Source organism: Homo sapiens, chromosome 1, assembly GCF_000001405.40.
Source record: "Homo sapiens chromosome 1, GRCh38.p14 Primary Assembly".
NCBI classification, from domain to species: Eukaryota; Metazoa; Chordata; class Mammalia; order Primates; family Hominidae; genus Homo; species Homo sapiens.
The window spans coordinates 23,724,435-23,737,421 of NC_000001.11; the positions used below are offsets into that span (position 1 = coordinate 23,724,435).

At 46.6% G+C, this 12,987-nt stretch overlaps 1 annotated feature.

Annotated features, from left to right (window-relative positions):
* Nucleotides 3,917-4,066: an enhancer, noted in NCBI's record as "active region_376". NCBI's record gives its function as "activates an Ori minimal core promoter by ATAC-STARR-seq in GM12878 lymphoblastoid cells {active_cell/tissue: GM12878}" and the evidence as "EXISTENCE:reporter gene assay evidence [ECO:0000049][PMID:35858748]".

The following is a 12,987-nucleotide window of genomic DNA, read 5'->3' on the forward strand; positions in this document are numbered from 1 at the left end:
GGAGCGAAACTCCATCTCAAAAAAAAAAAAAAATCACTTATGTCATGCCCACATAAATCCAATCACTGCCATCATTTTGGTGTGTTTCCTAGACGTAGATTATTTTGTTTTGTTCCTTTTATAGTTGTAATCATGCTGGTGAAACTGAACAAATTATAAAAACAAGAAGGCAGCTTAAGGGAGGCAGTTTATGTGTGGTACAGAAAAAGCAACAGGAAAATGTACCCATCGTAGGCAAGGGCATGGAAAACAGGCACTTCTTACAGTGTTGGTGGAAATGTACATTGGCAGAGCCTTTCTGGAGGAGAATTTTACAGTATCTATCAAAATCTTATAGATGCATGACTTTGACTCCAGAATTCTACTTAGAATTATCCTACAGTGTCCAACCGCACAAATTTAGGTGAATGCATCAGTTGTTTTTTAAAGAAGGAAAAACTAGGCCGGGCGCAGTGGCTCACGCCTGTAATCCCAGCACTTTGGGAGTCTGAGGCGGGCAGACTCACTTGAGGTCAGGAGTTCGACACCAGCCTGGCCAACATGGTGAAACCCTGTCTCTACTAAAAATATAAAAATTAGCCAGGCATGGTGGTGGGCGCCTGTAATCCCAGCTACTTGGGAGGCTGAGGCAGGAGACTGGCGTGAATCTGGGAGGCGGAGCTTGCAGTGAGCCGAGATGGCGCCACCGCACTCCAGCCTGGGCGACAGAGCGAGACTCTGTCTCAAAAAAAAAAAGGCCGGGCGCGGTGGCTCATGCCTGTAATCCCAGCACTTTGGGAGGCCAATGCAGGCGGATCACAAGGTCAGAAGATCGAGACCATCCTGGCTAACATGGTGAAACCCCGTCTCTACTAAAAATACAAAAAAAAAAAAAAAAAAAAATTATCCAGGTGTGGTGGCAGGTGCCTGTAGTCCCAGCTACTCAGGAGGCTGAAGCAGGAAAATGGCGTGAACCCGGGAGGCAGAGCTTGCAGTGAGCCGAGACCACGCCACTGCACTACAGCCTGGGTGACAGAGCGAGACTCCATCTCAAAAAAAAGAAAAAGAAAAAAACAGAGGACAACATAAATAAATATTTATTTATTTATTTATTTTGAGACGGAGTCTCGCTCTGTCGCCCAGGCTGGAGTGCAGTGGCATGATCTCAGCTCACTGCAGCCTCTGCCTCCTGAGTTCAAGTGATTCTCCTGCCTTAGCCTCCCGAGTAGTTGGGACTACAGGCACGTGCCACCACACCTGGCTAATTTTTATATTTTTAGTACAGACAGGGTTTCACCATGTTGGCTAGGCTGGTCTCCATCTCCTGACCTCATGATCTACCCGCCTCAGCCTCCCAAAGTGCTGGGATTACAGGTGTGAGCCACCACACCTGCCTTATTTATTTATTTATTTATTTACTTATTTATTTTGAGATGGAATCTTGCTCTGTCGCCTAGGCTGGAATGGCACGATCTCGGCTCACTGCAGCCTCCATCTCCCAGGTTCAAGCAATTCTCCCGCCTCAGCCTCCCAAGTAGCTGGGATTACAGGCACCTGCCATCACGCCTGGCTAATTTTTGTATTTTTAGTAGAGATGGGGTTTCCCCATGTTGGCCTGGCTGGTCTTGAACTCCTGATCTCAGGTGATCCGCCTGCCTTCACCTCCCAAAGTGCTGGGATTAGAGGCGTGAGCCACCGCACCTGGCCTAAAATTTTTTTTTTTGTAGAGACTGGGTCTCGCTCGCTTTGTTACCTGGGTTGGTCTTAAATTCCTGGGCTCAAGTGCTCCTCCCGTCTTGGCCTCCCAAAGTGTTGGGATAATAGGAATGATCCACCTTACCCTGCCTTAAATATTTATAAGTTAAATAAATTACAGTAAGTCTACAAAATGGAATAGCATGCTGATATGGAAGGTGCTCCACAGTGTATTATTAAGAGAAGGATAAGCGGGCCGGGCGCGCTGGCTCACACCTGTAATCCCAGCACTTTGGGAGGCCGAGGTGGGTGGATCACCTGAGGTCGGGAGTTCAAGACCAGCCTGACCAATATGGAGAAACCCCGTCTCTACTAAAAATAAAAAAATTAGCTGGGCGTGGTGGCGCATGCCTGTAATCCCAGCTACTCGGGATGCTGAAGCAGGAGAATTGCTTGAACCCAGGAGGCAGAGGTTGCGGTGATCGGAGATTGCACCGTTGCACTCCAGCCTGGGCAACAAGAGTGAAACTCCGTCTGAAAAAAAAAAAAAAAAAAGAGAAGGGTAAGCATGTTGCAGGATGGTATGTGGCATCCCATTGGGGTATTAAAAGCCACCATAGACAGTGCTTCTGTCTTGAAAAAAAGGCACTGAACTGGTAACAGTGGTGAACATGAAGAGGGAATTGGTGGGGTTGGTGAAGTGGGGACTCACTCTGCAGAAGCTACTAGAGGCAGGCAGCCACCTGCCTTGCGAGATTCAAGCTGTGTTGTAAGACTGCTGGATTCAAATCTCAGTTCTGCCTCCAATTAGCTGTGTGGCCTTTGACTAGTCATGAACCTTCTGTGCCATAGTTTCCTCACAAGTAAAATGGGCTTAGTAATTGTTTCTATCCCACAGGGTTGAAGTGAGAATCAAATTATTTAGCTCACGTGATACATTTAAGTGCTTAGCATATTAATATGCTTAATTAATATTAGCTAAGTCAGAAATTCTTGAGTTTCCATTCCTGTTTTGCCACCCATTGGGCAAATTTCTTAACTTCTTTATGCCTCAGTTTCCAATTGTGAATGAACAATGTTGATGATAGCATCAACCCTGTAGGGTTTTAAGGATTTGGGATAATAGGATGTCAGTATCTCACTGAAGAAACTGTCCCTGGCCGTAGTTCCTGGCTCCATTGCAGAGTTGGTAATACCAGTCTCTGAATTTTCTTCCTGAGAGTGGATCCCATTAAATCTCTAGCCAAGGAGGAGCGTACTTCTGTGCTTCTAGGGCTAGACAGAACGGAAGATGGTGCAGCAGCCCCAGCGTGGGAGGCCGGGGCTGTAGTGGGGATGTGGTGAAAGACGTAGGGCTCTCTCTGTTGCTCTCAGCTGCAGCCACGTGTTGCCCCATGGAGACTGGGCCAGGAGCTGCTGGATCTTACTGTTTCTCAAGAGAAGTTGTGAAATCTCCTCATTTTAAACTCTTGGCAATTATTTCATTTTTGTAAACATTGGGAGAGCAAACAAAACATGTCGGTAGGCTGTATTTAGCCCACAAGCTGCCAGTTTGCTATCTATGTTCTAGGCTTTCTGTGCTTGACTTAGCAAAATATTTACTAAGCGCCTGCTGTACCTGTAGCTCCTCAGTACCTGGTCATGTTTACTGTTCTGCCACCTCAGGCGTGCTGGCTCAGTCATCCTATCAGGTACTAAATCAGTTTAGTGGGCTTGAAATGGTGTTTCAATTCAAATTAAAATGCAATTTGCATTTCCCTGATTACTGCTGAGATTGAACATTTAAAAAAAATACATCTATAGAACTTTCTTCTCCCTCAGTAGAATTTTTGTTTTAAGTCTTCAGATCATCCTTTAGGTATGGAGAGATTTAGGGCTTCCCTAGTGAAATATTTCTTTTGAATAACATCACATCCACTAGCCTGGACTCTTGTTTAGGTTTGGGGCTGTCTGCACATCTCAGGAGGCCAAGCATCAAGCCCAGTACCGCCACAGAGGGGGGGTTCAATAAATATTTGAATGAATCTTTATTCCTATTTCAAGAGCGTATTTCTTCTTTATTCTCTAGTTCTTGGCACAAGTATTATTGATTTAGTTATCAGCGTATTCAACAATCACAACTCCCCACTTTGGTGAGGAAACACACTTTCTAGAGGTTTGCCTGTGTCCTGCCCCATTCAAACCAGGAAGTGAAAGGGGAATCTGCTGGCCTTAAGGGAACAATGATTCTTTTTTCTTTTCTTTCTTTCTTTCTTTCTTTTTTTTTTTTTTGAGATGGAGTCTTGCTCTGTTGCCTAGGCTAGAGTGCAGTGGGGCAATCTCAGCTCACTGCAATCTCCGCCTCCCAGGTTCAAGTAATTATCCTGCCTCAGCTTCCCGAGTAGCTGGAATTAGAGGTGCCTGTTACCACGCCCAGCTAATTTTTGTATTTTTAGTAGAGACGGGGTTTCACCATGTTGGCCAGGCTGGCCTCGAACTTCTGACCTCAGGTGATCCACCCACCTCAGCCTCCCAAAGTGCTGGGATGACAGGCGTGAGTCACCGCGCCCGGCCTACAGTGACTTCTCTAGAGAGTAGTTCCTTGAGGGCTGCAGAAGGTCATGCTAGTTTGAACATAGTGGTTCCATGTGGCTGGTTTTACATCTGTGCTCAGATGATTTGTTTTTTTTTTGTTTTTTTGTTTTTGTCTTCAAGGTAGAAGAACACTCTAGTCCCACAGGCCCTTTAATCAGTACCCACTGGGGAGTATTTGTGGATGTGTTTATCAGTTTCAGGGTGTCTTGACCAAGATTCAGGAGGGAGGGTATCCCCTATGAAGATGGCCTTTTTCTCTTGGCTCTCCTTCATGCACCCTTCTCAAGCCGTGCTTACATTTCCTCTAACACTGCAGGCTCCATTGGAACTCCAGCCCCTTTACACCTGCTGTCACCTCAACTGGAGTATCCTTCCACTCACTTATCATCTGGCAAATTCCTTCCTCCTCCTCCTTCAAGATCTAGGTCAGATGGTCCCTTTCTGAAACCTTCTGTGGCTCTCCCGGCAGAGTTAGGCCTCCCTTCTTTGTAGATATTCATTAACTCACATATTTGGTTAGCTACCAAAAAATCGTCCTTGCCCTAGAGGAGTTCATAGGCTAGTGGGGTAGACAAACCTAAACATTTAGACAGCCATGCTGACTGCATTAGGGAAGCACTGAGGAGGAGCACTTCACCTGCCTTGGGGGACAGATGACAGGGAAGGTTCCAGAAGGTGGGGACACCTGAATCCTAAGAGTGTGTGGGTATCCAGATAAGGAACTGGCTTGGGCAAAGGCACAGAGGCAACAAATAATGTTGCAGGTGCACAACAATGACAAGCAGTTGGTTTTGCTGGAACATAGGGGCCTGAAAATGTAGGACTTTCTATTATATTGACCCATATGAAACTGCTTTTTTTTTTTTGAGATCAAGTCTCACTCTGTCACCCAGGCTGGAGTGCAGTGGCATGATCTCAGCTCACTGCAACCTCCGCCTCCCAAGTTCAAGTGATTTTCCTGCCTCAGCCTCCCATCTAGCTGGGACTACAGGCATGCACCATCATGCCTAGCTAATTTTTGTATTTTTATTTTTATGGAGACGGAGTTTCACCATGTTGGCCAAGCTGGTCATGAACTCCTGACCTCAGATGACCCACCCGCCTCAGCCTCCCAAAGTGCTGGGATTACAGGTGTGAGCCACCGCGCTGGACCTAAAACTGCCATTTTTTTTTTTCCCCGAGACGGAGTTTTCACTCTTGTTGCCCAGGCTGAAGTGCAGTGGCATGATCTCAGCTCACTGCAACCTCCACCTCCCAGGTTCAAGCGATTCTCCTGCCTCAGCCTCCCAAGTAGCTGGGATTACAGGCACCCACCACACCTGGCTAATTTTGTATTTTTAGTAGAGACAGGGTTTCACCATGTTGGCCAGGCTGGTCTCGAACTCCTGTCCTCAGGTGATCCGCCTGCCTTAGCCTCCCAAAGTGCTGGGATTACAGGCGTGAGCCATCATGCCCGGCCATGAAACTGCCATTTTTTGTATATCAAAATAGATATCATCAATTTCATGTGGTTTCAAGCTAATATGTCACCCTAAGAGTTTTGGACTTTATATTGTTTCCCAAACTTCTGTTATTATTATTATTATTATTATTATTATTATTATTATTATTATTATTAGAGACAGGGTCTCACTCTTTCTCCCAGGGTGGAGTGCAGTGGTGCAATCAAGGCTCACTGCAGCCTCGAACTCCTGGGCCCAAGGGATCCTCCTGCTTCAGCCTCCTGAGTAGCTGAGCCTTCAGGTGCCACCATCATGCCCAGCTAACTTCTGTCATTTTTTATCCACCTTCATGATTTTTACCTTCTCTGAGTTCCTACCAACCTACTATGATCCACTTAATTTTTATTCAGAGAGACTCACTTCCTTTTCTTCTTCTTCTTCTTCTTTTTTTTTTTTTTCTGAGACAGAGTCTTGCTCTGTCCCCCAGGTTGGAGTGCCGTGGTACAATCTCAGCTCACTGTAACCTCCACCTCCTGGGTTCAAGAAATTCTCCTGCCTCAGCCTCCTGAGTAGCTCGGATTACAGGCATATGCCACCACACCCAGCTAATTTTTGTATTTTTAGTAGAGATGGGGTTTCACCATGTTGGCCAGGCTGGTCTCACACTTCTGACTTCACGATCCACCTGCCTTGGCCTCCCAAAGTGCTGGGATTACAGGCATGAGCCACTGCGCCCAGCCAAGACTCACTTTTCTAACTTAAATTTATTTTAAAAGGAAAGTTTAGGTCAAAAATTTAAAAAGTATTATCACCTGCCATATAAAGAAGGTAATTGTAAAAAGAAATTCAATAAAAACAAATCTCTTGCTAGATTCTGTTGCCCACCAACCTCTGCCTATAAATTTCCCCTTCCACAAACAATAGAAGTCTAAGAAATTATTAAAGAAGCATGTTGGCTGGGCGTGGTAAGGCACGCATATAATCTCAGCACTTTGGGAGGCTGAGGCGGGTGGATCACAAGGTCAGGAGATCGAGACCATCCTGGCCAACATGGTGAAACTCTGTCTCTATGAAAAATACAAAAATTAGCTGGGTGTGGTGGCGCATGCCTGTAGTCCCAGCTACTCGAGAAGCCAAGGCAGGAGAATCGCTTGAACCTGGGAGGTAGAGGTTGCAGTGAGCAGAGATCGAGTCACTGCACTCCAGCCTGGGTGACACAGTGAGACTCCGTCTCAAGAAGAAGCATGTCAGCTGGATGCGGTGGCTCACGCCTGTAATCCTAGCACTTTGGGAGGCCAAGGCAGGTGGATCACCTGCGGTCAGGAGTTCGAGACGAGCCTGGCCAACATGGCGAAACCCCATTTATACTAAAAATAACAAAAATTAGGTGGACGTGGTGGCAGGTGCCTTTAATCCCAGCGACTCGGGACGCTGAGGCAGGAGAATCGCTTGAATCCAGGAGGCAGGGGTTGCAGTGAGCCGAGATCATGCCATTGCACTCCAGCCTGGGCAACAAGGGTGAAACTCTGTGTCAAAAAAAAAAAAGAAGAAGCAGCAGCATGTAATTGGACATTTTGAGAGCACAGACATCAGTTAAGAGGCTAAGAAGGTTCATGGCAATAAGAATATAGAAGAGAAAATGGAAACAAGAAATGTTTGAGAATGAAAATCACTAGGACTGTTTGGATATGGTGGGAGAGAAAAGAAGAATCAAGAATGACTTTCAGGGCCAGGTGCGGTGGCTCACTCCTGTAATCCCAGCACTTTGGGAGGCTGAGGCAGGTGGATCACTTGAGGTCAGGAGTTCGAGACCAGCCTGGCCAACATGGTGAAACCCCATCTCTACTTAAAAAAATACAAAACTTAGCTGGGCGTGGTAGCAGGCACCTGTAATCCCAGCTACTTGGGAGGCTGAGGCAGGAGAAACTCTTGAATCCGGGAGGTGGAGGTTGCAGTGAGCTGAGATTGTCCCACTGCACTCTGGCCTGGGCGACAGAGTGAGACTCTGACTCAAAAAAAAAAAAAGGACTTTTAGGGTTCTATCCTGGAGGGTTAGGGGCAGGTGATGGTGCCAGCTATAGAGGGGGGAAGTGATGATTTAGGAGGGAAGATAATGAGGTAATCTTGCACATCTTACATTTGAGGTGCCCATGGTGCCCTCCAATTGGAGATGCCCAGGGTGAGGGTTCAGAGCAGAGCCACTGGGTACAGATAGTCCTCAAGACTGGGGTATCAGCCCTCCAATAGAGGAGCTAAGGAAGCAGCCATTTTGATGAGTGTTTTCCTGCAAATCCTCCCAGCCTAAGAGTAGATTTTTGCCTTCCCTTATGGAGCAGATGGAGGTCTTGAGGGCAGCAAGGTGCTTAGTCCTCTCTGTCTCAACAGCTTCTAGCTCACCAGAAGAGAGGAAATTTAAGAAAAAGATGACACATTCCATCTCTAACCTGCTGAGTCATAGAGACGGGGGAGTACCAATGGGGAAATGTCCATTCAGATGGATTCTGAACTCTATCCAGGCAACTGAAAGCCTGGGACTAGACCTATAGACTTGGGTAGTACCAGCCTATAGATGGTGGTAGCAACCATGAGAGTAGATGAGAATGCCCAAAAAGGGTGTGTATTGTCATAAAAGTCATGCGCCCAGGACTACATCCTGAAGAACTACAGCATTCAAGGTAGAGAAGTAGCAAAAAGGGAGAGCATAAAGGTGACAGAGGGAATAGTCAGAAACTTTTTTTTTTTGAGACAGAGTCTCATTCTGTCACCCAGGCTGGAGTGCACTGGCGCCATCTCAGCTCACTGCAAATCACTGCAACCTCCACCTCCCAGGCTCAAGTGATTCTCATGCCTCAGCCTCCCAAGTAGCTGGGACTACAGGCTCACGCCACCACGCCTAGCTAATTTTTGTATTTTTAGTAGAGATGGAGTTTCACCATGTTGACCAGGCTGGTCTCAAACTCCTGACCTCAGGTGATCCGCCCGCCTTGGTCTCTCAAAGGGTTGGGATTACAGGCGTGAGCCACCACGTCCAGCCAATAGTCAGAAACTTTGGAAGTTATTCAGGAGAGTAAAGTGTCATAGAAGCCAACAGAACGGAATTTCATGGAGTGGAGTGATCACAAATGTCAGATATAGCAGAGATCTGCCACAACAAAAACACCTTCAGGTATTGTCATTGGGATTTCACTGGTGACCTTACAAAAGTTTTTTCCAGTAGACTGGTGAGAATGGAAACCGAAATTCAAATTGCACTGACGGGTGGCTGAGAGACAAGCATAGACAGTGAGCATAGACTGTTATTTGGGGGAAGTATAATATACCTTTGTTTATTCATTCAATAAAGATTTATTGGCCAGGTGTGGTGGCTTATGCCTGTTCGGAGCACTCTGGGAGGCTGAGATGGGTGGATCACCTGAGGTCCGGAGTTCAAGACCAGACTGGCCAATATGGTGAAACCCTGTCTCTACTAAAATTACAAAAATTAGCCAGGTGTGGTGGCACATGCCTGTAATCCCAGCTGCTTGAGAGGCTGAGGCATGAGAATCGCTTGAAACTGGGAGGCAGAGGTTGCAATGAGCTGAGATCGCGCCATTGCACTCCAGCCTGGGTGACAGAGTGAGACTCTGTCTCAAAAAAAAAAAAAAAAAAAAAAAAAATTGATGGCCTATCTGGCCCTGTACTAGGTGATGATGAACAACAAAGCAACGAACAGAAACAAAGTCTAGCCAGGCACCATGGCTCATGTTAATTCCAGCATTTTGGAAGGCTGAGGCAGGTGGATTGCTTGAGCTCAGAGGTTTGAGACCAGGCTGGGCAACATTGAGACCCTATCTCTATTAAAAAATAAAAAATTTAAAAATTAAAAAAAAATTTTGGCTGGGCGCTGTGGCTCACGCCTGTAATCCCAGCACTTTGGGAGGCCGAGGTGGGCGGATCACCTGAGGTCGGGAGTTTGAGACTAGCCTGACCAACATGGAGAAACCCCATCTCTACTAAAAATACAAAATTAGCCAGGTGTGGTGGCACATGCCTGTAATCCCAGCTACTCGGAGGCTGAGGCAGGAGAGTCGCTTGAATCTAAGAGGTGGAGGTTGCAGTGAGCTGAGATCATGCCACTGCACTCCAGCCTGGGCAACAAGAGTGAAACTGTCAAAAAAAAAAAAATTTAAACACCAAAACTAACATTCCTGCTTTCACAGAGCTTATATTCTAGGGGTGGACAGAGAAACGATACAAAATATGCAAGATAGTGTTAAGTACTTTGAAGAAAAGCTATTTTGCATAGGGTGATTAGGAAAGGTCTCTGTGATCAGGTGACTTTTACAAGGGATTGTTGAGTTTGTTTTAAAGTACAGTACAGTATCAGATAGATTGTAGTCCTTAATTTTTATTTTATTTTTTTTGAGACAGAGTCTTTCTCTGTCTCCCTGGCTGAAGTTCAGTGGCACGATCTTGGCTCCCTGCAACCTCTGTCCCCTGGTTCAAGCAATTCTTCTGCCTCAGCCTCCCTAGTAGCTGGGATTACAGGTGTGCACTACCACACTTGGCTAATTTTTGTATTTTCAGTAGAGACGGAGTTTTGCCATGTTGGCCAGGCTGGTCTTGAACTCCTGACCTCAAGTGATCCGCTGGCCTCGGCCTCCCAAAGTGCTGGGATTACAGGCAGCACTTTGATTACAGGCATGAGCCACTGTGCTTGGCCCTTAATTCTTGATATACTGTGTTCAGTGTTAAGATAATTGTACATTTTGCTACTCCTCTACTTAGAATCCACAAAACTTTACAATAAAATTCAAATTCCTTATCATGGATCCTACATAAGGTTCCGAGACCCTGTAATCTACCTCTGCCTTTCTTGCCAAGTTTATCTTATACCACCCTTCCCCTTTCTTATTCCACTCCAGCCACATGCACCAAAGCTGCATTGAATGAACGAATGAAGTGTTGGAAGTATCTTCCCAGGTGGCTTCTTGGGCAACAGGAAGCAAGACAGCTTACGGTCAAAGAGCTTGAGTGTTTGTGCCAGACAAATCTGGCTTGGGTCCTGGCTGTGCTGCTTACAAGCCCTTTGACCTTGTCTAGGTCATATAGCCTCAGTGAGCCTCAGCAAGTCTCAGCTTCCTCAAATGTGCAATGGAGACTATATGTCTATACTGAGGATTATTTTAAGGATAAAGTTCAGAATTACTGCAAATTTCTTAGCACAGTGCCTGGCACATTGTAAGCACTCAAGAATTAGTAGTGTTAGCATCATCATTGTTGTTGTTATCATTACTTTGGCCAATCAACCCTCCTCTGTTAACAGATGGCCAGAGTCATACAGTGAGTTAGGGATGGAGGAGGGGTGACCTGCATCCAGGTGTTCAGACACAGAGTACAGGCTAGTGTGGGCTTTGGAGCTGAGCAGACTTGGCTCACATTTTGGGTTAGTCATTTCCCACATTTGAGGCAAGTTACTTAACCTATCTGAACTTCGAGTGCTCTGTTCTTAAAATGATGTATGTAGGCCTGGCGCGGTGGCTCACGCCTGTGATCCCAGCACTTTGGGAGGCCGAAGTGGGTGGATCACGAGGTCAGGAGTTCAAGACCAGCCTGGCCAACATGGTGAAACCCCATTTCTACTAAAAATGCAAAATTAGCTAGGTGTGGTGGCATGCGCCTGTAATCCTAGCTACTCAGGAGGCTGAGGCAGGAGAATCGCTTGAACCCAGGAGGCAGAGGTTGCAGTGAGCCAAGATCATGCCATTGCACTCCAGCCTGGGTGACAGAGCAAGACTTCATCTCCAAAAAAAAAAAAAAGTATGTAAAGGTAGCACAGAGCTGAGCCACTGAGAGGAGCCTCACAAATGGCAGGCATTCCCAGCCCCTTTTGTGCTGTTGCTTTCTTCTTCCCTTCTTAACTCAGTAGTCTTTAATCTTTTATTTTTATTTTTATTTATTTATTTATTTATTTATTTAGAGACGGAGTCTCACTCTGTCGCCCAGGCTGGAGTGCAGTGGCGCAATCTCGGCTCACTGCAAGCTCCGCCTCCCAGGTTCACGCCATTCTCCTGCCTCAGCCTCCCGGGTAGCTGGGACTACAGGCGCCCACCGCCACGCCCAGCTAATTTCTTGTATTTTAGTAGAGATGGGGTTTCACCGTGTTAGCCAGGATGGTCTCGATCTGCTGACCTCATGATCCGCCCACCTTGGCCTCCCACAGTGCTGGGATTACAGGCGTGAGCCACTGCGCTCAGCCCAATATTTTATTTTATTTTTTAAGAGAGGAGAGAGACATAGACCCCTTTGAGAGTTTGTAATCTGTGGACACTCAAATTCACAGAGTTCAGAGACATCTGCCAATATTGGGGATGAAAACTTAATCGATCAAATCAGTCAGTTGCTCCTTCTTCCTCTCTCTCCCCACTCTCCTTTTTTGCTTTTTCCTGTTATCCCCCATCATTTCTAGGCTAGTTGCCTTTAGCTCACACATTTGTTTTGTTTTGAGACAGGGTCTCACTATGTTGCCCAGGCTGGAGTGCAGTGGCTGTACATAGGCATGATCCCACTACTGATCTGCATGGGAACTTTGACCTGCTCCATTTCCGACCCGGAACGGTTCACCCATTCTTAGGCAACCTGGTGGTCCCCAGCTCCCTGGGGGTATACCTTATTGATGCTAAACTTAGTGCGGACACCTGATTGGTATAGTGCACTACAGCCCAGAACTCCTGGGCTCAGGCCTCCTGAATAGCTGGGACTACAGGTGCATGCCACCATGCCCAGCAGCTCACACTTTGTCTAACAACTTTGTTCCAAGAGTACTCTCAGCAAAGACCACAACCACATTCTCAGTTTCTGGGGTTGAGGGCACGGTGTCACTTGTTTCCTAAGTATCAGTTTACTCATCAGTAAAATGAGCATTGTTTATAGCACTTTGCCAAGTGTTTTCTCATGTGATCTGTACAACAATGCTGGTAGGCAAAGTTTTCATTCATCTCAGTCAATATTTATGGAGTGCTGGCCAGGCGTGGTGGCTCACGCCTGTAATCCCAGCACTTTGGGAGGCCAAGGTGGGCGGATCTCCTGAGGTCAGGAGTTCAAGACCAGCCTGGCCAACATGGTGAAACCCCGTCTGTACTAAAAATACGAAAATCAGCTGGGTATGGTGGCAGGCGCCTGTAATCCCAGCTACTCTGGAGGCTGAAGCAGGAGAATAGCTTGAATCCGGGAGGTGGAGGTTGCAGTGAGCCGAGATTGTGCCATTACACTCCAGCCTGGATGACAAGTGTGAAACTTCTGTCTCAAAAAAAAAAAA